Below are 23,425 nucleotides of genomic sequence, written 5' to 3' on the forward strand. Positions count from 1 at the left end.
GTATTTTTAAGATGATAATAGTACACAAATCGATCTATATATTTCACACAATCCTCATCAGAATTCCAGCTGTCTTCTTTGTAGAAATTGACAGACTGATTTGCCTGTCTCTCTTGCATTACTCTTAGCTTATTTTCCCAGTAATGATAAGAAAGACTTTGTTCTGACTGGATCAAAGCTGAGGACAGATCTCTCTGTGTACTGAACATGGACCCTTTGTGTCATACCAGTAGCTGTTTGCTTTGGTGCATAGGGGGCTATTTCTGAACCCCTTCTGTGATGGGTTAAACAAATAAAATAACAGATATATTTTAACATATAACTTCTATGAAGAAATAATAGCAATCCATACCTTACAAGAATAAACCCTAAAACAAGGGTTTCTTTGTTTTTCAGCTTTGCCAAATTGTCAAAGTTGCCTTGAACTGAATGAAGGGTCTGCATCAAAGTATTAAACATAAATTAGCTTGTTTCTTCCACCAAGGCAGTGGCTCTGTTTTATTCACTTTATAGAGTTTGTAAAACTATTTTATTTCTAAGTGGTTTTTAAAAGATGCTCCTTTTTGTTCTCTTAAAATTATTATTTCTGATGCTTGTCTTGATTTTTTAATTGTTCATTTACACCCTGTGCAAAGCAAAGAAATATCAAATGCTTTGCTCTAGGAGAGGGAGGCAATTCAACTGCAAAATTGTTCATCATACCTTGGGTTTAATGGGGTAAATCTTAGAAACTACTTTAATATCCTTAATAGGTAAACTCCTAAATAAAATTCCAGTCTTATACAATGATGGTTTCAGGAGAAAACTGAATAGCCATGGATGTTTTAGATGTTGCAAGATATTGAAAAGCAAATAATGACAAAATATGCCAGTATAATTCTGTAATTGGTTTTAAATGCTTATGGATGGATAGTAGCAGCCTGTATAAAAAATAATCTAAAGTGGTTTTGATCTATATTTTAATGCACTAGATCTCCCTCTTTAAAAATGTTTGTAAAATGAAATAATAGAAAAATTGATATGCTTTTTTAGCTTAACAAAACTTTAAAAATACTTTGATCAATTTAAGAAGGTGGGACATGATACAAGCACTTTTCTACATGTTTATATCCACCACTGTAGTGGATATAAACTAGTGGATATAAAGACCAAGAAAAATATTTAACACGTTCGTGTCTATTACTCTGTAATTCCACTAGTAAGGAATAAAAAACAATAAAATATACCTACGCATTCAGGTAAAAAGTTGTTCATCATAGAATTGATCTTATGAGGGAAAAAAATCAGAATCTTTTTAAACATAGCCCCAAAGGATGCTTGGTTGCAGAAATCATAGCTTATCCTGATGACAGAATATATGTAACAACAGAATTGCAGGACAATATTTAATGATTTACAGAGATGACCCCAGATAATTGTAATAGTGAAATACCCTCCAATGAAACAATGCATATTGTGTTATAAATACAAAGGTAGGTAGATACCTATTATTGAAAATTTATTTTGTCAAGTAGTAGTATTAGGAGGGGTATTAGGATTTCAACTTTCTTTTCTTACATTAGCAATTTTTAAAAAATATTTTCTATTATAATTTTGTACAATTTGTATAAAAATAAATGTATAACATAAATAAAAACAAAAAAGCTCCTGTGTCCCTGAGAAAATACTGGTGAATTGTAGAAACAAATGTAATAGCAAGTGCAGAAAATCGTCCAGGTATCTGGGTCCTGTAACAACACTGATGCAACTTATGAAGATGAACTTGTACTATATTTACAGGTGGCCATTGAATAACACATTCTTCCTCCCCTCCAAAAAAACATTCAAACTGCCATGTACTTTGACACATGAATTCTACTTTTAGCAATGACTCATCAGGAAATAATCTTGAAAGTCAGCATGTTTTGTGCACTAGGAACTTCATGGCAGCTTTAGATTACATAAAGGAAAAGCAGAAACAATCTAGATGTTCAATGAGGAAAGAGTTAAAATAAAACATGCATAAGACACACGAACACACAGAGATATAGACATAGATACATATGTACACACATATATCTAACCTTCTACCTAGTCGTGAATTCAATAGAATATTAAGAGCCAGAGAAAATATTTTAAAAGTATCTTTAATGACATGAAATGAAGTTCAAGAATATGTGTGTGTATAAATATACACACACATGTATGTGTGAAAAGCAGATATAAAAACAGTCTGTACATCATAATATACATATATGATATATGCATAAGAAAAAAACTAGACCTACAGACAAAAATGTTTCAGGTAGTTCTAGAAAATATCAGAGAGGTGTGCATGAAAATGTTTCTGGAATGTGTGTGTAATCATCAGAAATGATTACTGGTGACTTTAATTTTCTTCTGGTAACTTGTCTGCTTTGTGATTTTTTTTTCTTGCAATGACGCTGAATTACTTTTCTGACAACAGGGAAAAGGACAGGAAGAGGGCACAGGGGAATGGGGTCATAAGCAGTGTTTGTTTCCAGCAAAACTACCGAGGACAGCGAAACACCCTTTGTAGCCCGCCAAGCTGGCCAAGACACACACACACACACACACACACACACACGCACGCACACACACGATCAATTACAGTGACCAGGAGACTATGCAGGGGAAACGGGCATACTCTTTACTAGCTGCGCTGGCCGGCACGAGTGCAAATCGGTACAATGCTTATGAAGGGGGCCTTTTGGCAACACACAGGAAAAGTCTTTAAAATGTCTATATGTGGATCTTGCAAGTCCGCAGTTAAGGAGACCACCGGGATGCTAGCAAAGATTTGGCTTGACAAGGAAGGATTCACTCATCAAAGCACAGAGCACGCAATGTTGGTCTTAAACACAGGGAAAGAACTAGGCACCACCTGAATGTCCAACAATGCGGGAATGATTACAGAAATGTTAAGGTCCACGGATACACTGGAGCACTCTGCAGGCACTGAAGATGACGTTTCATAAGCCTGTTGATAACATGGAAAGAAGTTCAATGGGTTGATTTTTGTTTGGTTTTAGTTGCTGAAAAAGCAGGTTAAGAAACACCACATACATGAACCATTCTATAACGGTGTGTTAAAAGGGAAGGCGGGGTGGGGGTGAGCAAAGGAGAGAGAGGGAGAGAAGAGAGCCTGGAAAAGCAGCACACCAAAAAGGTAAAAGTGGTTCTCTCTGGGGAGTAGGACCAGGGGAGCAATTACTCTCTTGTTTCTTCCCTCATCTGATATCCTTCTCCTTTCTGATGATTCTACCATGAAATTGTACCACCTGTGCAGTAAACAAAGAGAGAATGAAAATGCTTTTTAAATCAAACCACAGGGAGAAGAGGCAGCCTTTAACCTACAAATGGCACAGATTAGTAAGATTATTCACAACGCCCTTGGTGGGGGTGGGCGGGGGAGAGGAAGGGAAGGAGAGGAGAGGTGGAGGGAGAAAATAGGAAGCGGGGAGAGAGAAGGGGAGAGAGAGAGAGAGAGAGACCTGCACTCTCAATACAATAAATACACTGCTGGTGGGTTGGCGGGGGAGGGCTGGGGGTGGGGGGTTGTAAACCGGGTGTGAGCCAAGGTTTGGCTCTGCTGGCTGGCTAGCTCCTGGGATGTCTTCATCGCAAGGTGGCCTCCTCGTCGGTGTCTTCCTCGAAATCCTTGACGTCAGCACTAGTGGACTGCCTGGCCCAGGCTCCCCTTTCGGCCTCTCGTTCTTTATGCGACTTGAATCTCCCGACGAAAATTTTGCGGTAGTTCAGGAACATGCCATTCATCACATCGATGGCCCGCTCCGCAGATTCCTGCTTTTGGAAGTGCACGAACCCGTAGCCCTTGGGCCCCTTTTCGTCACAGGCCACTTTGCAGGAGAGGATGTTGCCGAACGCCGAGAAGATGTTGTACAGCGCCTTGTTGTCGATGGTCTTGCCCAGGTTCTTGATGAAGACGTTGCCCACCCCGCTCTTGCGGAGCGACGGGTCCCTCTGGGACCACATGATGCGCACTGGCCTGCCCTTTATGACATCAAAGTTCAGGGTCTCCAGGGCCCGCTTGGCGTCCACCGGTTGCTGGTAGTTGACATACGCGTAGCCCAATGAGCGGCGGGTGATCTTGTCCCTGCAGATGCGGATGGAGAGGATGGGCCCAGCTGGACTGAACTTCTCGTACAGCATTGCCTCGGTCACCTCAGGGTGCAGGTCGCCCACGTACAGGGAGGCCATCTGAAAATCTGGGTTCCCCTCACAGTCACCGAGGGTCTCATCCGCATCTGCATCCGCGGCGGCCGCCGCAGCCGCCACCTCGGCCGCCACCTCGGCCGCCACCTTCGCATCCGCATCCGCATCCGCATCCGCCTCCGCCTCCCCCAAGGGGGGCCCCGCAGCCTCCGCTGCGGCGGCGGCTTCGGCCGCGCTGCCCTCCGCCACCGCCACCACCGTTGCCACCCGGGCGGCCTCCGCCTCCCCCGGGGTGGCCTCCGATGCTGCCTCCTCTATTGAGGCCTCGGCCTCCACCTCAGCCTCTACCTCTGCTTCCGCCTCCGCCACGGAGGCCTCCGCCACCGCCTCTGCCACGGTCGCCGCCGCAGCCTCCGCCGCCGCCGCAGCCGCTGCCGCCACCGCCGCCGCCACTGTCGCTGCTGTCGCCACGGTCGCCGCTGCCGCCGGGCCGCTGCCGCGACCTCCCTTCCCGCGAGCTGGGGGACGGAGAGGCGGGGGAGGGCGGGAGGGCAGGAGGGCGGGTGGGTGCGGGAACACAGACCCGATGCGCGAGCGGGAGCTGGCGCAGGGGATCCGAACTGGCGAGTTCAAGTCACCTGGGATGGCAAGTGCTGCCAGGAGCGCGCCGGTGCGAGTCGCCGCAGCCTGCAGCCAGCTGCTGTTGCCGCCGCCGCTCGGTCGTGGGCTAGCGCGCAGGGTGCGGGGTGCGGGCGGGCAGGCGGCGTGTGGTGGGGGGCGGGGGGTGTTGGCGTCTGTCGTCCGGGCAGCTGGGAAGGCTTCTGTCTCTTTGGTTCCCCCTGTGGCTGCTGCGGGGCTGCGGGGCTGCGGGGCTGCGGGGCTGCGGGGCTGCGGGGCTGCGGGGCTGCGGGGCTGCGGGGCTGCGGGGCTGCCGGGCTGCGGGCGGTGGGAGATGACGGGGGTGGGAGCAGGAGCGGGAGCAGGGGCGGGAGCGGGAGCGGGAGTGGGAGTGCTCAGTCTCTCGGGTCGCCTGGATATTTATGAAAAGGACGCCAGGGAAAGGGCTCCGCTGTAGACCGAAGGGATAAGGGTTCGATTCAGAAGGGAGCGTTATTTTTATCCCCTCTCCACATAATGGAACGTTTAAATGGTTAAATCAAGTACCTTGCAGGAGAGGGTGGGGTGGCCTTGAGAATACACTCAAGGCCTCAGTACATGCAGTCTGGAAGTGGGGGAATCAAGAGCACCCTGTCTCTAGTACTGTCCTCAATGATAAGGTGAGGAAAGCCAAACCCAGGACTGGGAACAGGGCCTGGTCCAGAGCCAGGCGCTTGTTTATTCTTGACTCTGCTCTCAAGGCGCTGAGGTTCCCAACCTGGACCAAGAAGTACATATTCAGGTTCAAAGGATAAACCAAAACAAAACCTGAGCTCTCTCTCTAGAATGAAGTGCCTGGTCCCAGTTCACCATCTAATATTTATGGAAAGCTTATCAGGTACTTGGTGCTGGGGGCTAAGGGGCCCGCAATGTGGTAAGTGAGCAGGGACTGTTGATGTGTTGGAGGTGTGGAGCAGGGTGAGAAGAGGTGAGCAGTGTGTGTGTAGTGAGAGCAGAGAGGCCACACAGAGCCAAATGCTGGGGGTATAGACAAGGGAGCAACCATGAGAGTTGAGTGTAACAGAAGCTACAGTCCCACTTCCTCCAGAGAGGAGGACCAGCCACTAACTCTTCTTAGTAGCAATTAGGTGAGGCTGCACCAAAGACAGAACCACCGAGGTGGGCTCTGAAACATGAGGAGCAGTCCACCATGTCAAGGCAGGAAGGAAGGCACTCCAGGCAGAGGGATCAGTCTGTGCCCAAGGCCCTTTGTCATGAGAGCACATGCTTGGTCGCTTCTGGCCATGCCTAATAATCTGGCAGGGACAGAGCTCATGGTCTCCAAGAGCACATGGTAGCAGACAGGGCTGGAAGGTGTGGGGCCCTGAGAATCAAGCTAAGGTGCTTCGACTGTATACCCAAGGTCACGGGGACCACTCAGCATGTTCAAGGAGGGAAGCAGTATGATGAGAACTTTAGAATGAGTACAAATTAAACATCAATGTGCATGTATAAGTGCACATTTACATGTACACGCATGTACAAAACCAAGACAGGGCTGACAGAACACAAGGAAGAAAGTCAGATGTGACCAATTCAAAAAGAGTCTGAACAATCCTTCCCTCTATTCCTTTTCATTCCATAAATAGGGGTCTCACGTTTACCGTGAGCCAGTGGGGCCAGATGTTTAAAAAGAGAAAACCATAGTGCCTTCCCTCAGGATGCCTTCACTCTGCTAAAGCTCAGTCTGCCCCCACAGAGAACAGAAGTGTCAGCAGAGGACTGTAAGTGCTATGTGATTGGACGACGGTGGCCATAGAATTTCACCTGCCCAGCACGTATTCTCTCATCCTCTCCTCCTCTGCCTTCTTTGGGTAAGTAAAGCTGTTTTCTGTGGTTGCAGTGATGGCTGGATCTTGGCAGTCATACATGATAGAACAACCGTGAACCTGAGGAAGTGACTGAGTCACTGTGGGGTGCGAGGCAGTGAGAACTCTTCGTCGCTGGCTGGAAAGCATCCCAAGGTGGCTGAGAAGCAGATACACAGACATGTACCTCTCCAGCTTGCAAAGTCCAGCTCTCTGCCTCTAGGCAGGGCTAGTGCCGGCAAAGGCAAGGGACAGAGACCTAGGAAAAGCCTGCTGTACAGCGCATGCCTGACCAAGGTGATCACTGTCACCGCTGTTAAGAGCCATCTCCTGGGGGTCTAGGTTGCTTGCAGGCAGGGAGAAGATGAAGCTGTGCCTCACCATTTCCAGGTTGGTGTCCAAGAGGGACCTGAGAAGGCAGAGGCCAAGGGGGAAGCCATGCTCGCAGAGGGGTAGGGGATGTGGCGAGGATGAGAAGAGCTCCTCGGCCCATTGTTAGGAAACAGAAATGACAAGGAAGACCAAGTCGAGGACCAGGACTCAGCAAGATCTCTGTCTCTGGCGTTGCCTTCCAGTACACAGGGCCAACAGAAATCAGTGAAACAGCAGGAGAAGGAAGTTCAGGGAAGTCATGCTATGGCTAGCAAATCCCCAAACCTGAAAACAATTCCTAGGATCCTGAACCTCTAGCAACAGGAGCAGGGCTACCAAAGTGACAAGGACACAGCAGGGACTGCTCCCCAAGTCCTTTCTCAGGGGCTTCCATGGAGTCGAGTTTCCATCTCCTTTTTATTCTTTATTTTTAAAGTTACGTTGTGGTCAGTTTCTGCCACCTGCAAATGGAATGTGTTCTGACCACTACACACTGTGACAGGGGCAAAAATAAAGAGCCCTGTGGAGCCTCAATGGAGGGAGGGGAAGTTTCCTTTCCCGTGGGAGGAAGTGCTGTTGATTTTATTTATTCAGTGATTCAATGAATATTCCTGGAGGGTCTTCTATGTACCAAGTATTCTGCCGGCCAGACCGTCCCTGAACTCAGGGAGCTTATTTTCTAGTGGGGAGACAGACAATAGACAGATCAGGGAATATGAAAACAGTTAAAGGTTGCTATGAATGCTCTCGGGGACATAAACAAGATGATTTGGTACATATTGCCTAGAACCCCAGAAAAGTGGCAAAACGGGAGACATGAAGCTCAGGGAAGGCCTTTCTGAGGACAATGATAAGCCACCAGTCTTTCAAGGAACCAGGGGGGAAACCTGCCCAGCAGAGGGAAGGGCAATTCCCCTGGCCCTGTGGCAGAAAAGAGAGGGTGCTGGGGGTGGGGGTGGGGGCAGAAAGGATGCCAATGTTGCATGGAGCCCAGTGTGAGAGGGGATAGAGGAAGGAAAGGGAGGAAGGCGCAGTGGTGGGTGGTGCCATGATGAAGAGTCTGGTTCTTCTTCAGAGAGCTCAGGAGAGCCAGAGAAAGGATTGAAGCAGGTAGTAGCATAATCTAATGCCCATTCAGTGGTTTCTCTCTAGCTGCTCTGTGTGGGCAATATCACAAGTGGGCAGGGCACAAAGGAAAGCAGGGAGACCAGTTAGGAGGCTCTTGCAGTAGTCCAGTCCAGAGACAGCAGGGGCTTGGCCCAGACTGGAAGCATCAATGTGGAGACTAGTGTGTGGATTCACATGATATTTTGGAAGTGGAAGAGACAGCGCTTGTGAGTGGATTCGAGGCAATCTCAGAGGTCTATGTACGGTCATAGGAAAGACAGAGAGTGGGTGGGCATGGTAGATTTGGAGAAGGGAGAAAGACAGATGGGGGTGTGTGTCAAGAGCTCCTATTTGCACAGGTTTAGTTACTGAGGTCTGCTTGTCATCCATAGAGGCTGGAGAAACAGAATTGTTGAGACAACAGGACACAGTTAGGGTCTAAAGCCACAAAACTGAGTAGGATCACCTAGAGAGAGTATAGCCAGGAGAAGAAGGTGCAGGGCTACTCCCTGAGATACTCTGACACTTAGAAGTTGGGTGGGGAGCACAAGCCAGCAAAATAGATTCAGAAGGACTGGACAGTGAACAGGACTCCTCTCTAAGGCCTTGCATGTCCGAACATGTCCAAACTTCTCGCCAAGGCTTTTCATCACCAGCCTCAATATCCTCACTCAGACTCTGCTCTCAATGCTCCTAGCTGTACGTGCATGGGAGTTGGTTTAAAATGGGACAACAACGACTTTGTGTGCTTGGCTTTGGACTTCACTCTCTGATCATTTCTCAGTGGAGCTTTCAAAAGAGAGAGAGGTTCGGATGCAGAGAACTTCGAAGAGTGGGGTAGGCACTGCTCTGCTATTTCATGTGGCCCATCTCCTTTTTCCTTTCAGGAGGGAGAAATCAGAAGGAGTGGGGATGCAGTTCAGAGAGCAGAGGAGAAGAGAAGAAAAGAAGGAAGAAGGAAGAGGACTAGGGTTGGGTGGGGGGGGAGGACACCAATGGGAAGAGGGACAGATCAACTCTATACACAAAAGTAAATCAAAACACCAAAAACAGGGGTCTATGTAAAGAAGCCTCTTCCCGTGAATTGCTCGTTGCATAGCTGCAGGGAGGGTGTTTAGGGGCATAGAGAATGAAAACATACCTGTATTTTGGTGTAGGGAAATTGTTTCTGTCAATTCACACCGTCCACACACCACCTCCCACCCCAACCCCGCCACTACCAAATTCCTCTAAATAAAAATAATTATGAGATACAGGCCAACAAAAACGTCAGCGTTAGGCTGTTATTTAGAGAGAATTGGAAAGCGTTTGAATGTGGCCCTGTTGTTTAATAAACGATAACAATGATTACTAAGTTGTCCTGAGTCAATACAACAAATTTAGCAAATGGTCCTTTGGGTCCTTATAAAGTGAAGAGTTGACGGAGACAGATTTGTATATGGGGCAGGGATGGAATGGTAGTCAGTCCTGGAGAAATAAGAACCCCGGGAGGTGATGAAATATGTACAAGTATGTTTATCACAGAAACACTCATATTGGGCAAATCAGGGCACAAAGCAAGTATGCATCAGGTGAGGAGTGACTGATACATTGGCAGTGCAGCCATTCTGAGGATTATTATGCAACCATTAACAAGTATGAGTTATCTCTATATAAGCTGATTTAAGGGGATTTCCAGAATGTGCTATTACCAGGCGAGAAAAGCAGGTTTGTTGTCATTTTGGTGCAAACAAAAGGAGATGGGCCTTGGAGTCAGATTGACTAGTAGGCTGAATTTCAGAGCAAAACACTTAACCATTCTTGAGCCTCAGTGTGTGCTCAGAGTTTGAATTTCAGAAACCCTAATTAAGCATCTTACAAATTTCATTTGTGACAAGCAGTTTTGCCCCAGCTCTGCTTAGAAACCGAGCCAAAGGGCTGTATTGACTGATGGTTTTTGCATAGCATTCCAGATATTTTTCTCTCTGAGAACCAATTCACCTTCTAACACACGCTTGAAGCCTTAACTCATGCCCTTCTTTGTTATAATTTTAGGCAGTTCACAAAACTGATTTTATAACAATATACCTACAGATACACCCCAGGCCATGACTTAAGAGTTGTGCTTACTTTGGTCAAGGTACTTTACCCCCCTTTTTTCCATCTTAGCTTTGGAGTCCCCATCTGTACAAAGGGATATTTATAAGGATAACAAGTGATAATGTATGGTAAATGTTTTTCACAGTGCCTGGCATGCATTCAATGCCCAATACAAGAGACTCCTTATTAATCTTATTGCCCTCTGTCCTGGGGTTGTGCTTGTTCAGCTGGTTTTTGAAGGTCCAGTGTCTTGTCTTTCTGGTGCTCCAGGCAGCCTGGAATTTTCTCTCTAACCAGGAGCAAAGTGTCAGTACAGAGGGAGTCTGATCCTCTGGGTTCTCTGGCCTGAACTCGCTTAGCTCACACTCTCATTGAGCTTCTCTGTACTAGTCCCAACCATAGGACCTTTTAATGATCCAGTTATTTATTTTCTGGAGGCTCAGGGTCCGCACATTAATTAACACATGAAAGCATGGCATTTTCTGTACTCAAGGAAACCACCCAGAAGATTTAATAACACTATCTCAACAAAATGGGGTATTGAGACAGGAGAGAATTTTCTGTCAACTGCTATTCATCCTTTTGAGCAACATCTTGGGGGCCATTTGAGAGGTAATTTACTGTAAGGTAATACACTCCTTCAGCTTCTTTGCTGCAGGCTACTGAACACACTTTGATGTCTCCATGATGTCTCTGGAACAATATTACCAATATTCACCATTGTGATGTGATGCATGCATGGATTACTGAAGCGTGAGTTGGCTGATCTCCAGTATCATGAGCTGCTGATCAATTTTAGGTTTTCGCTTTGTTTAATAGATGTAAAACGAAATCTCCTTCAATGTGGTAAAATCTTGCTAATGTCAAGGTGATTAACCTTGGGACTTCCTCCCATACAGATCATCTTTTTAAAACTGTCTCCAAATAATAGTTCTTAATTAAAAATATATATGTATGCACATGGTAAATATAATAGTGATGATCAGAAAGTACAAAGGAGCTTATGATAAAAAACAAAGATTCAAGGTCCCATCACTTCCTACTCCCCAACTGTGCTTCCCAGAGTAGACCACTTTAACAATTTCTGTTTGCAGTGTTCTGACCATTACCTCCTTATATCTAAAGAAAATGCCTAATCTGCTAATTCAATAATTCATCAACTTCAGACATCATCAAGTGACCATCCTCTACCAGAGAGGAGGATTTAACTCACTCACACTATCTTCAATCTGCCCTGTCTTTCCTTCTGGCAATTTTTATACCTTTTGATCTTTAGTTCTTCTATTGGTGACTCCAGTGACTTTAAGTGATATGCTTAACTCTCAGTCTCTAGCGTACACCTTCGTCAGTTTCCCATAAAATAAGGATGTTAGCACCCCTCCCCTTCCCTTAGCCTCTCCTCCCTCTTTCTATATCCTCTTTTCCAAACAGACTGCTGCTCATTGACATCCACTTCTGAAAACTTAGTTGAATTATTTGGGCTTTGAAAAGCAACACAAGCCTTTTACCCTTTAATGAATCTCTAATAATGTTGTCCACAAGGGTCACATTTCTTCACACTTTAAGGTGGGCCACTAGAGGGCGGTTAATCCTGATGTAAATTAAATTAAAAAAAATTAATTAATGTAGACAGGAGGACTAAGTGCAGGAGATGTTTTGTATGACACAGAAACTATATTTAGTAACAATTTATTGTATACTTAAACATTGGTGAAAGTAGATTTTAAATATTTTCATCACAAAATGTATGTGAGATAATGAATGTTTTAATTTGATTTACTTTCCCAAATCTATACATATAACAAAATATCATATTGTGTATTACGTATTTATATAGTCAATTGTAACATCAGTTACTTTACTTTTTAAAATAAAATCAATTAATGTAACCCATCACTTCAACAGGCTAAAGAAGAAAAATCACATGACTATATCAGCGGATGAAGAAAAAGTGTTTGACAAAATCCAACTCTCATTCATGAGCAAAACCCCAAATAATCGAGACATACAGGATAACTTCCTCATCTTGGTAAATAATATCTTCAAAAGAAATACAGCTAACATGATAGTCAATGGTTGGAAATTTGAAGCTTTCTTTCTAAGAGCAGGAACAAAGTAAGAATGTCCCCTCTCACCATTGCTTTCTACATTTTACTGGAAGTCTTAGATAATTCTATAGGACAATAAAAATGTAAGTATACAGATTAAGAAGGAATACATGCAATTGTCTTCGTTCACAAATGACAAGATCTATGTTAAAAAATCCAAAAGAGTCAACAAAAAATACCTCCTGGAACTAATAAATGATTATAACAAGGTTTTAGAATAGAAGGTTAATGGCCGGGCGTTGTGGCTCACATCTGTAACCCTAGCACTTTGGGAGGCCGAGGCGGGCAGATTATCTGAGGTCAGGAGTTCAAGACCAGCCTGGTCAACAAGGTGAAACCCCGTCTCTACTAAAAATACAAAAAATTAGCCGGGTGCAGTGGCCCGCACCTGTAAAATCCTAGCTGCTTGGGAGGCTGAGGCAGGAGAATCGCTTGGACCTGGGAGGTATAGGTTGCAGTGAGCCAAGATCATGCCACTGTACTCCAGCCTGGGCAACAGAGTGAAACTTCTTTTCAGCAATATATATACAAGTTTAATATGAAAAGTGTCCGTTGTTTTCCTATATACAAGAAATGAAAAAGTAGAATTTTAATCTGCAGATCAATTTGGAGAGTAGTGGCATCTTAACATTATAAGTCTCCCAATCTATTAACATGTAATGTTGTTCCATTTATCTTCTTTAATGTCTTTCAGCAATGTTTGGTAGTTATCAGAGTATAGGTTTGGCATTTCTTTTGTTAAGTATATTGGTAAGTATTTTTTTCTGTGATGCTATTATAAATAGAATTGTTTTAATTTCCTTCTTGTATTGCTCGTTGCCATTATCAAAAAATAAAATTGGTGTTTGTGCATTAAAAAGGACAAAATACCATTTACGTTAGCGTCCTCAAAAATGAAATACATAGGTATAAATATAACAAAATATATACAAGACCTATATTAGGAAAGCTACAAAACTATGATGAAAGAAAGCAATGAATAACTAAATAAATGAATATGCTGTTTCTTTTATTTTATGTGTGTTGTTGAGTTGCCTCCCCTGTCTTACCTGACCAAGACGCCTGAACCTATCTTCTTTCTGGGTCTGGGCTCTCCTAGAGAGGATATATCTTGGTAGGAATAAATGACACAGATCAGACAAGAGCCACATGATGTCTACCAGTGAAAACAAGTTTTCTGTGAGAGGGACATCTGGTCATGGTTCAGACACTTAGGAATTAGGCCATTCACCAGGATAAAAGAAGCATCCTGTAAAAGATATACTGTAAACATTCATGACCAAATACCTTGAAGCCCTGACTGGAAGGGCTGGAGTTTTTAGCCATCCTCCTAAGGGAGATCTCAAGACCAAATTAAAAAGAGGAAAATAGAATGTCAAAGCTAGTTAAAGAACTCCACCAGAGAAAAAAGTAGACTACTACTACCTTATTACTATTGATTTTAAAATTCTCAACAAAATACTAGCAATCCAAATGCAACAATACATTAAAATAATTATACACCACGAACAAGTGGGATTTATCTAAGGAATGCCAGGATGGTTCAACATATGAAAATCAATCAATGTAGTACACTTTTTAATAGAATGAAGAAAAAATGGCACAACCTCATCTCAATACATGCAGAAAATGCATTTGACTTGACAAAAGCTAACCCTCTCCCACAATTAAAAAAACCACTCAGCTAAGTAGGAATAGCAGAAAAATTTCTGATCATGGTAAAGGGCATTTATGAAAAACCCTCAGCTAACATTATACTCAATAATGAAAACCTGGAAGCTGTTTCCTAACATCAGAAACAAGCATGCTCGCTGTCATCACTTCTATTCAACATTGTACTGGACGCTCCAGCCAGAGCAATTGGCCAAGAAAAAAAAAGGCACCCAACCTGAAACAGAAGAAGTAAAATTATGTCTCTTTGCTGATGACAGTATCCTACCTATAGAATATTCTACAAAATCCATGAAAAAATATTACAGCTAATTAAAAAATTCAGCAAATCACAAGACCAACATACAAAAATAAATTTGTATTTCTATATACTAGTAGTAAACAGTATCAAGATAAAATTAAGAAACAATTTCATTTACAATAGAATCAAGTGATAAAATACTTAACAATAAAGTTAACCAAGAATGTAGAAGTCTTGTACTCTGAAAACTAAAACATTGCTGAAAGAAATTTTAAAAAGTGTAAATGAATAGAAAACTTCCTATAGTTATGGATTGGAAGACTTACTGTTAAGATTTGGTAATACTCCAAAATTACAAATTCAATACAATCTCTATCAAAATACTGACTTTTTCAAAAATGAAAAAACTGATCCTAATATTCATATGGTTGCACAGCATTGTAAGTGAGCTAAGTGCCGCTGAATTGTCCACTTTAAAATGGTTAATTATGTTATGTGAATTTACCTAAATAAAGCAAAAGCAGACACAGAAAAAAAGCTACATTATGAACTCAATAAAAAAGATGAAAAATGACAGCAGACTTTTTTTTATCAGATACCATACAATCAACAATATGAAGACATGATAGAAACATCTCAATTTGTATGATTTCAATGATTTTAAATATATTAGGGCTCCTTTCATGATATAGCATGTGGTCTATCAAGGAGAATATTCTATATGCACTCAAGATAAACAAGCATTCTGTTGCTTTAGGGTGGAGTGTTGTTAGGTCTAGCCTGTGTACAGCATTGCTCAAGCCTTTTATGCATATTTCTTATTTTATTTTCTGACTAGTTGTTCTATACATTATTGAAATTGAAAGTGGTTATTGAAGTCTCCAACTTCTTCACTGAGCTGTTTATTTTCAATTCTCTCAGATTTTGCTTTGCGTATTTTTCAACTCTGTTGATATGTGCACATGCGTTTAGAATTATTATGTCTTCTTGATATATTGAGCCTTTTGTCTTTATAAAATACAGTTGACCCTTGAACAACATGGGTTTGAACTGCACTGGTATACTTATATGTAGATTTTCTTCCACTTCTGCCACATCGGAGACAAGACCAACTCCTCCTGTTCTTCCTACTCCTCAGACTACTCAACGTGAAGATGATAAGGATGAAGACATTTATGATGATGATCCATTTTTATCTAATGAATAGTAAATATATTTTCTATTCCTTATCTTTCTTAATAACATTTTGTTTTCTCTAGCTTACTTTACTGTAAGAATATAGTATATAATACATATAACATAAAAATACGTGTAAATTGACTTTATGTTATCAGTAAGGCTTCTGGTCAACAGTAGGCTATTAAAAGTTAAGTTTAGGGGAGTAAAAAGCTATACATGGATTTCTGACTGCCTGGTGAGTTAGTGCTTCTAACCCCTGTGTTGTTCAAAGATCAACTGTATATGTTTTTCTCTCTAGTAAAAAAATTTTATTCTTTTTTTTTCTTCCTCCTTTTCCTGGTATCTAGTAAAAAAAATTTATGTCTGTTTTGTCTGATACTATTACCACCACTCCCAGTCTCTTTTGGATACTACTTGCATGGTGTATCTTTTCTATTTTTTCACTTTTAACCATTTTTTCATTTATTGTAAGGTGTAGTTCTTATTGAGAGCATTTATATAGATCATTTATTTTTTATCCATCTGCTAATAGATGCTTTTAGTTGAAGTGTTTAATACATTTGTATATAACTACTTTTAAATTAGGGTTTGCATCTGAAACTTTTCAATTTGATTTCTATAGATTATCTATCTTTTCTCCCTTTATCCTTCTATAACAATCTTCTTATGTGTTCAGTAGGTATTTTAGTACACTAGTTTAAATCCCTTGCCATTTCTTTTACTACATTATTCGGAGTTAGTTCTTTAGAGGTTACTCTGTGATTACAATTAACATATTAACTTTAAAAATCTAGTGAGAATAATACCAACTTGAATAGCATACAATTTTCCCTTATGTAGCTTCATTTCTTTTACCTACTTTATGCTATTATTGTCATACAAACTATATTTTTATACATTATATGCCTGCCAACACCAATTTATATTCATTGCTTTTCCCAGTTTTTCTTTTTTATTATTATTACTATACTGTGTTTTAGAGATGGTTCTTGGCACACCCTCTGAAACATTTAGTGGTAAATGGGACATGATATCTGAAACTTATATTTTAAAAAAGCAATATATGTGTGCCTACAGAGAGAAAATGATAAAGCAAATGTGGAAAATGACTAACAGTTGGTGAATATGGGTGAAGAGCATACAATTTTGTACTAGTCTTGCAACTTGTCTATGTTTGAAATTATTTCTATTTTTATTTCACTAGTTTTTAGGGTACAGATGATTTTTGGTTACATGGATAAGTTCTTTAGTGGTGATTTCTGGGATTTTGGTGCACCCGTCACCTAAGCAGTGTACACTGTACCTAATATGCCATCTTCTATTGCTCATCCCTCTTCCACCATTCCCTGCTGAGTCACCAAAGTCCATTATATCATTCGTATGTCTTTGCATCCTCATAGCTTAGAGCCTAATTGAAATTGAGAACATACAATATTTGGTTTTCCATTCCTGAGTTACTTCACTTAAAATAATGGCCTCCAGCTCCATCCAAGTTGCTGCAAAGGACATTATTTCATCCATTTTATGGCTGAGTACTATTCCATGGTGTATATATACGTATACACACACACACACACACACACACACACACACACACATATATATATATATATAATGTGGTATATATATATACCACATTTTCTTTATACACTCATTGTTTGATGGGCCCATTGGTTGGTTCCATATTTTTGCAATTGTGTGGCTGTAAACATGCTTGTGCATGTCTTTTTCACATAATGACATCTTTTCCTTTGGGTAGATACCCAGTAGTAGGATGGCTGGATTGAATGGTAGTTCTACTGTTAGATCTTTAAGGAATCTTCATACAGTTTTCCATAATGGTTGTACTAGTTTACATTTCTACCAACAGTGTAAAAGTGTTCCCTATTCACCACATCCACACCAACATCTATTATTTTTTTACATTTTAATTATGGCCACTCTTGCAGGAGTGAGGCCATATCTTATTGAGGCTTTAATTTGCATTTCCTTGATAATTAGTGATGTTGAGCATTTTTTCATGTTTGTTGGCTGATTGTCTATCCTCTTTTGAGAATTGTCTATTCATGTCATTTGGCCACTTTTTGAAGGGATTTTTTTTTTCTTGCTGATTTGAGTACCTTGTAGATTCTGGATATTAGTCCTTTGTTGGATGCATAGTTTGTAAACATTTTCTCCCTCTCCGTAGGTTGTCTGTTTGCTGATTATTTCTTTGGCTGTGCAGAAGCTTTTCTGTTTAATTAGGTCCCACTTATTTATTTATTTTTGTTTTCGTTGAATTTGATTTTGGGTCTCAGCCACGAATTCTTTGCCTAAGCCAATGTCTAGAAGAGTTTTCCTGATGTTATCTTGATAATTTTTATGGTTTCTAGTCTTAGATTTAAGTCTTTGCTCCATCTTCAGTTCATTTGTGTATAAGGTGAGAGATAGGAATCCAGTTTTAATCTTCTACATGTGGCTTGCCAGTTTTTACAGCACCATTTGTTGAACAGGATGTCCTTTTCCCAATTTATGTTTCTGTAGGCTTTGTCGAAGATCAGTTGGATGTAAGTATTTTATGCTTCCGTTAATATGAGCTGCCTAGAAGATAAAAACGTATAAAGCAGTAGAGTAAAAGATATCATGGGCTGGAGTGAGGGACAAATAAGGAGGTGTTGTTTAATGAGTAAAGAGTTTCTCTTTGGGATGGTGAAAAAATTTTGGAAATGTATAGTGGTGATGGTTGCACAACATTCTGAATGTAATTAATGCTCCTGAATTGTACACTCTACAATAGCTAAAATTGTTACAATTAAAAATATAAAAGTTTATTTCAGTCCTCCATTGTTGAGGGTTTTTATCATTTCCAGACATTGCTTATTATAAATATTTTATAAGAAAATTATTCAGAGAAAAATTCTGGATTGTGAAAGAAAATATTGGTTATAGTATATAAGAGAAGTTTCGATATATTTTTTCACGCATCTTATGAAAGGCTACCTTTATCTAACTTTTCAGTTAGTTTATAATTCTGTCGTGTACCTAAATGGCTTTACTATACTACCTACAGTTGCCATTTAATATTAAAATAATGCTATAACTACCATAAGGTCGCATATTAATATTAAATATTTGTAAACAATGTGCCATCTTACGTTTTTCACTTTATTTTTTAACTTCTGAAAGTAAATCTTTACATACATGCATTTCAAAGGGAACAATTTTTTTCCTACACTAAAATATTTTTTTTCTTCAGCATATTAAATATGTCATGCCACTCTCTCCTGGCCTGTAAGGTTTCCGCTGAAATTTCTGCTGCCAGATGTATTGGAGCTCCATTGCATGTTTTTTTTTTTTTTTTAATTTTCTATGTCAGATTTCTTTTAAAATTTAATTTTATTGTTATTATACTTTAAGTTTTAGGGTACATGTGCACAACGTGCAGGTTTGTTACATAGGTATACCTGTGCCAGTTTGGTGTGCTGCACCCATTAACTCCTCATTTAGCATTAGGTATATCTCCTAATGCTATCCCTCCCCTCTTACCCCACCCCACAACAGGCCCCGGTGTGTGATGTTCCCCTTCCTGTGTCCATGTGTTCTCATTGTTCACTTCCCACCTATGAGTGAGAACATGCAGTGTTTGGTTTTTTGTCCTTGTGATAGTTTGCTGAGAATGATGGTTTCCAGCTTCATCCATGTCCCTACAAAGGACATGAACTCATCCTTATTTATAGCTGCATAGTATTCCATGGTGTATATGTGCCACATTTTCTTAATCCAGTCTATCATTGTTGGACATTTGGCTTGGTTCCAAGTCTTTCCTATTGTGAGTAGTGCCTCAATAAACATACGTGTGCATGTGTCTTTATAGCAGCCTGATTTATAGTCCTTTGGGTATATACCCAGTAATGGGATGGCTGGGTCAAATGGCATTTCTAGTTCTAGATCCCTGAGGAATCGCCACACTGACTTCCACAATGGTTGAACTAGTTTACAGTCCCACCAACAGTGTAAAAGTGTTCCTATTTCTCCACATCCTCTCCAGCACCTGTTGTTTCCTGACTTTTTGATGATCGCCATTCTAACTGGTGTAAGATGGTATCTCACTGTGGTTTTGATTTGCATTTCTCTGATGGCCAGTGATGATGAGCATTTTTTCATGTGTCTTTTGGCTGCATAAATGTCTTCTTTTGAGAAGTGTCTGTTCATATCCTTTGCCCACTTTTTGATGGGGTTGTTTTTTTTTCTTGTAAATTTGTTTGAGTTCATTGTAGATTCTGGATATTAGCCCTTTGTCAGATGAGTAGGTTGCAAAAATTTTCTCCCATTCTGCAGGCTGCCTGTTCACTCTGATGGTAGTTTCTTTTGCTTTGCAGAAGCTCTTTAGTTTAATTAGATCCCATTTGTCAATTTTGGCTTTTATTACCATTGCTTTTGGTGTTTTAGACATGAAGTCCTTGCCCATGCCTATGTCCTGAATGGTATTGCCTATGTTTTCTTCTAGGGTTTTTATGGTTTTAGGTCTAACATGTAAGTCTTTAATCCATCTTGAATTAATTTTTGTATAAGGTGTAAGGAAGATATCGTTTCAGCTTTCTACATATGGCTAGCGAGTTTTCCCAGCACCATTTATTAAATAGGGAATCCTTTCCCCATTTCTTGTTTTTGTCAGGTTTGTCAAAGATCAGGTAGTTGTAGATATGCAGCATTATTTCTGAGGGCTCTTTTCTGTTCCATTGGTCTATATCTCTGTTTTGGTACCAGTACCATGCTGTTTTGGTTACTTTGGCCTTTTATTGTAGTTTGAAGTCAGGTAGCATGATGCCTCCAGCTTTGTTCTTTTGGCTTAGGATTGACTTGGCAATGTGGGCTCTTTTTTGGTTCCATATGAACTTTAAAGTAGTTTTTTCCAATTCTGTGAAGAAAGTAATTGGTAGCTTGATGGGGATGGCATTGAATCTATAAATTACCTTGGGCAGTATGGCCATTTTCACGATATTGATTCTTCCTACCCATGAGCATGGAATGTTCTTCCATTTGTTTGTATCCTCTTTTATTTCATTGAGCAGTGGTTTGTAGTTCTCCTTGAAGAGGTCCTTCATATCCCTTGTAACTTGGATTCCTAGGTATTTTATTCTCTTTGAAACAATTGTGAATGGGAGTCCACTCATGATTTGGCTCTCTGTTTGTCTGTTATTGGTGTATAAGAATGTTTGTGATTTTTGCACACTGATTTTGTATCCTGAGACTTTGCTGAAGTTGCTTATCAGCTTAAGGAGATTTTGGGCTGAGACAATGGGGTTTTCTAGATATACAATCATGTCATCTGCAAACAGGGACAATTTGACTTCCTCTTTTCCTAACTGAATGCCCTTTATTTCCTTCTCCTGCCTGATTGCCCTGGCCAGAACTTCCAACACTGTGTTGAATAGGATTGGTGAGAGAGGGCATCCCTGTCTTGTGCCAGTTTTCAAAGGGAATGCTTCCAGTTTTTGCCCATTCAGTATGATATTGGCTGTGAGTTTGTCATAGATAGCTCTTATTATTTTGAGATACGTCCCATCAATACCTAATTTATTGAGAGTTTTTAGCATGAAGTGTTGTTGAATTTTATCAAAGGCCTTTTCTGCATCTATTGAGATAGTCATGTGGTTTTTGTCTTTGGTTCTGTTTATATGCTGGATTACATTTATTGATTTGCATATGTTGAACCAGCCTTGCATCCCAGGGATGAAGCCCACTTGATCATGGTGGATAAGCTTTTTGATGTGCTGCTGGATTCGGTTTGCCAGTATTTTATTGAGGATTTTTGCATCAATGTTCATCAGGGATATTGGTCTAAAGTTCTCTTTTTTTCTTGTGTCTCTGTCAGGCTTTGGTATCAGGATGATGCTGGCCTCATAAAATGAGTTAGGGAGGATTCCCTCTTTTTCTATTGATTGGAATAGTTTCAGAAGCAATGGTACCAGCTCCTCCTTGGACCTCTGGTAGAAGTCGGCTGTGAATCCATCTGGTCCTGGATTTTTTTTGGTTGGTAAGCTATTGATTATTGCCACAATTTCAGAGCCTCTTATTGGTCTATTCAGAGATTCAACTTCTTCCTGCTTTAGTCTTGGGAGGTTGTATGTGTCGAGGAATTTATCCATTTCTTCTAGATTTTCTAGTTTATTTGCATAGAGGTGTTTATAGTATTCTCTGGTGGTAGTTTGTATTTCTGTGGGATCAGTGGTGATATCCCCTTTATCATTTTTTATTGCGTCTATTTGACTCTTCTCTCTTTTTTTCTTTATTAGTCTTGCTAGCAGTCTATCAATTTTGTTGATCTTTTCAAAATACCAGCTCCTGGATTCATTGATTTTTTGAAGGGTTTTTTTGTGTCTCTATTTCCTTCAGTTCTGCTCTGATCTTAGTTATTTCTTGCCTTCTGCTAGCTTTTGAAAGTGTTTGCTCTTGCTTCTGTAGTTCTTTTAATTGTGATGTTAGGGTGTCAATTTTAGATCTTTCCTGCTTCCTCTTGTGGGCATTTAGTGTTATAAATTTCCCTCTACACGCTGCTTTGAATGTGTCCCAGAGATTCTGGTATGTTGTGTCTTTGTTCTCGTTGGTTTCAAAGAACATCTTTATTTCTGCCTTCATTTCATTATTTACCCAGTAGTCATTCAGGAGCAGGTTGTTCAGTTTCCATGTAGTTGAGTGGTTTTGAGTGAGTTTCTTAATCCTGAGTTCTAGTTTGATTGCCCTGTGGTCTGAGAGACAGTTTGTTTATAATTTCTGTTCTTTTATGTTTGCTGAGGAGTGCTTTACTTCCAACTATTGGTCAATTTTGAAATAGATGTGGTGTGGTGCTGAAAAGAATGTATATTCTATTGATTTGGGGTGGAGAGTTCTGTAGATGTCTATTAGGTCCGCTTGGTGCAGAGCTGAGTTCAATTCCTGGATATCCTTGTTAACTTTCTGTCTCGTTGATCTGTCTAATGTTGACAGTGGGGTGTTAAAGTCTCCCATTATTAATGTGTGGGCATCTAAGTCTCTTTGTAGGTCACTCAGGACTTGCTTTATGAATCTGGGTGCTCCTTTATTGGGTGCATATATATTTAGGATAGTTAGCTCTTCTTGTTGAAGTGATCCCTTTACCATTTTGTAATGGCCTTCTTTGTCTCTTTTGATCTTTGTTGGTTTAAAGTCTGTTGTATCCGAGACTAGGATTGCAACCCCTGCTTTTTTTTTGTTTTCCATTTGCTTGTTAGAGCTTCCTCCATCCCTTTATTTTGAGCCTATGTGTGTCTCTGTACGAGATGGGTTTCCTGAATACAGCATACTGGTGTGTCTTGACTCTTTATCCAATTTGTCAGTCTGTGCCTTTTAATTGGAGCATTTAGCCCATTTACATTTAAGGTTAGTATTGTTATGTGTGAATTTGATCCTGTCATTATGATCTTAGCTGGTTATTTTGCTCGTTAGTTGATGCAGTTTCTTCGTACCCTTGATGGTCTTTACAATTTGGCATGTTTTTGCAGTGGCTGGTACTGGTCGTTCCTTTCCATGTTTAGTGCTTCCTTCAGGAGCTCTTTTAGGGCAGGCCTGGTGGTGACAAAATCTCTCAGCATTTGCTTGTCTGTAAAGTATTTTAATTCTCTTTCACTTATGAAGCTTAGTTTGGCTGGATATGAAATTCTGGGTTCAAAAGTCTTTTCTTTAAGAATGTTGAATATTGGCCCCCACTCTCTTCTGGCTTGTAGGGTTTCTGCCAAGAGAGCCACTATTAGTCTGATGGGCTTCCCTTTGTGGGTAACCCGACCTTTCTTTCTGGCTGCCCTTAACATTTTTTCCTTCATTTCAACCTTGGTGAATCTGACAATTTTGCATCTTGGGATTGCTGTTCTTGAGGAGTATCTTTGTGGTGTTCTCCGTATTTCCTGAATTTGAAAGTTGGCCTGCCTTGCTAGGTTTCTGAAGTTTACCCAGATAATATCCTGAAGAGTGTTTTCCAACTTGGTTCCATTCTCCCCATCACTTTCAGGTACACAAATCAAATGGAGATTTGG

At 40.9% G+C, this 23,425-nt stretch overlaps 1 protein-coding gene and 1 long non-coding RNA gene across 4 annotated transcripts; one reads left to right on the plus strand and one right to left on the minus strand.

The window, feature by feature from the left end:
- Positions 1–2,110: 2,110 nt before the first annotated feature.
- PABPC1L2A (poly(A) binding protein cytoplasmic 1 like 2A) lies at positions 2,111–4,347 on the minus strand. The gene has a single exon (NM_001012977.3). It carries the CDS (start codon positions 4,219–4,221, stop codon positions 3,619–3,621), a length of 603 nt encoding a protein of 200 aa, NP_001012995.1. The 5' UTR covers positions 4,222–4,347; the 3' UTR covers positions 2,111–3,618.
- Positions 4,348–5,170: 823 nt separating this feature from the next.
- Positions 5,171–9,470, plus strand: LOC101928380 (uncharacterized). Of its 3 annotated transcripts, none has more exons than XR_244514.3 (3): positions 5,171–5,671; positions 6,533–6,647; positions 9,008–9,470. It is a non-coding gene; the product is annotated as an uncharacterized LOC101928380 (long non-coding RNA). The 3 variants fall into 3 exon arrangements; XR_001755883.1 differs by having other exon boundaries at positions 5,171–5,453; positions 5,535–6,647; XR_001755882.1 differs by having other exon boundaries at positions 5,171–6,647.
- The last annotated feature ends 13,955 nt before the right edge of the window (positions 9,471–23,425 follow it).

This window comes from Homo sapiens, chromosome X (genome assembly GCF_000001405.40).
Source record: "Homo sapiens chromosome X, GRCh38.p14 Primary Assembly".
Taxonomy (NCBI): domain Eukaryota; kingdom Metazoa; phylum Chordata; class Mammalia; order Primates; family Hominidae; genus Homo; species Homo sapiens.

Coding starts and splice junctions, on each gene's coding strand:
- PABPC1L2A (NM_001012977.3), bottom strand. CDS start 4,221: ATGGCCTCCCTGTACGTGGGCGACCTGCACCCTGAGGTGACCGAGGCA.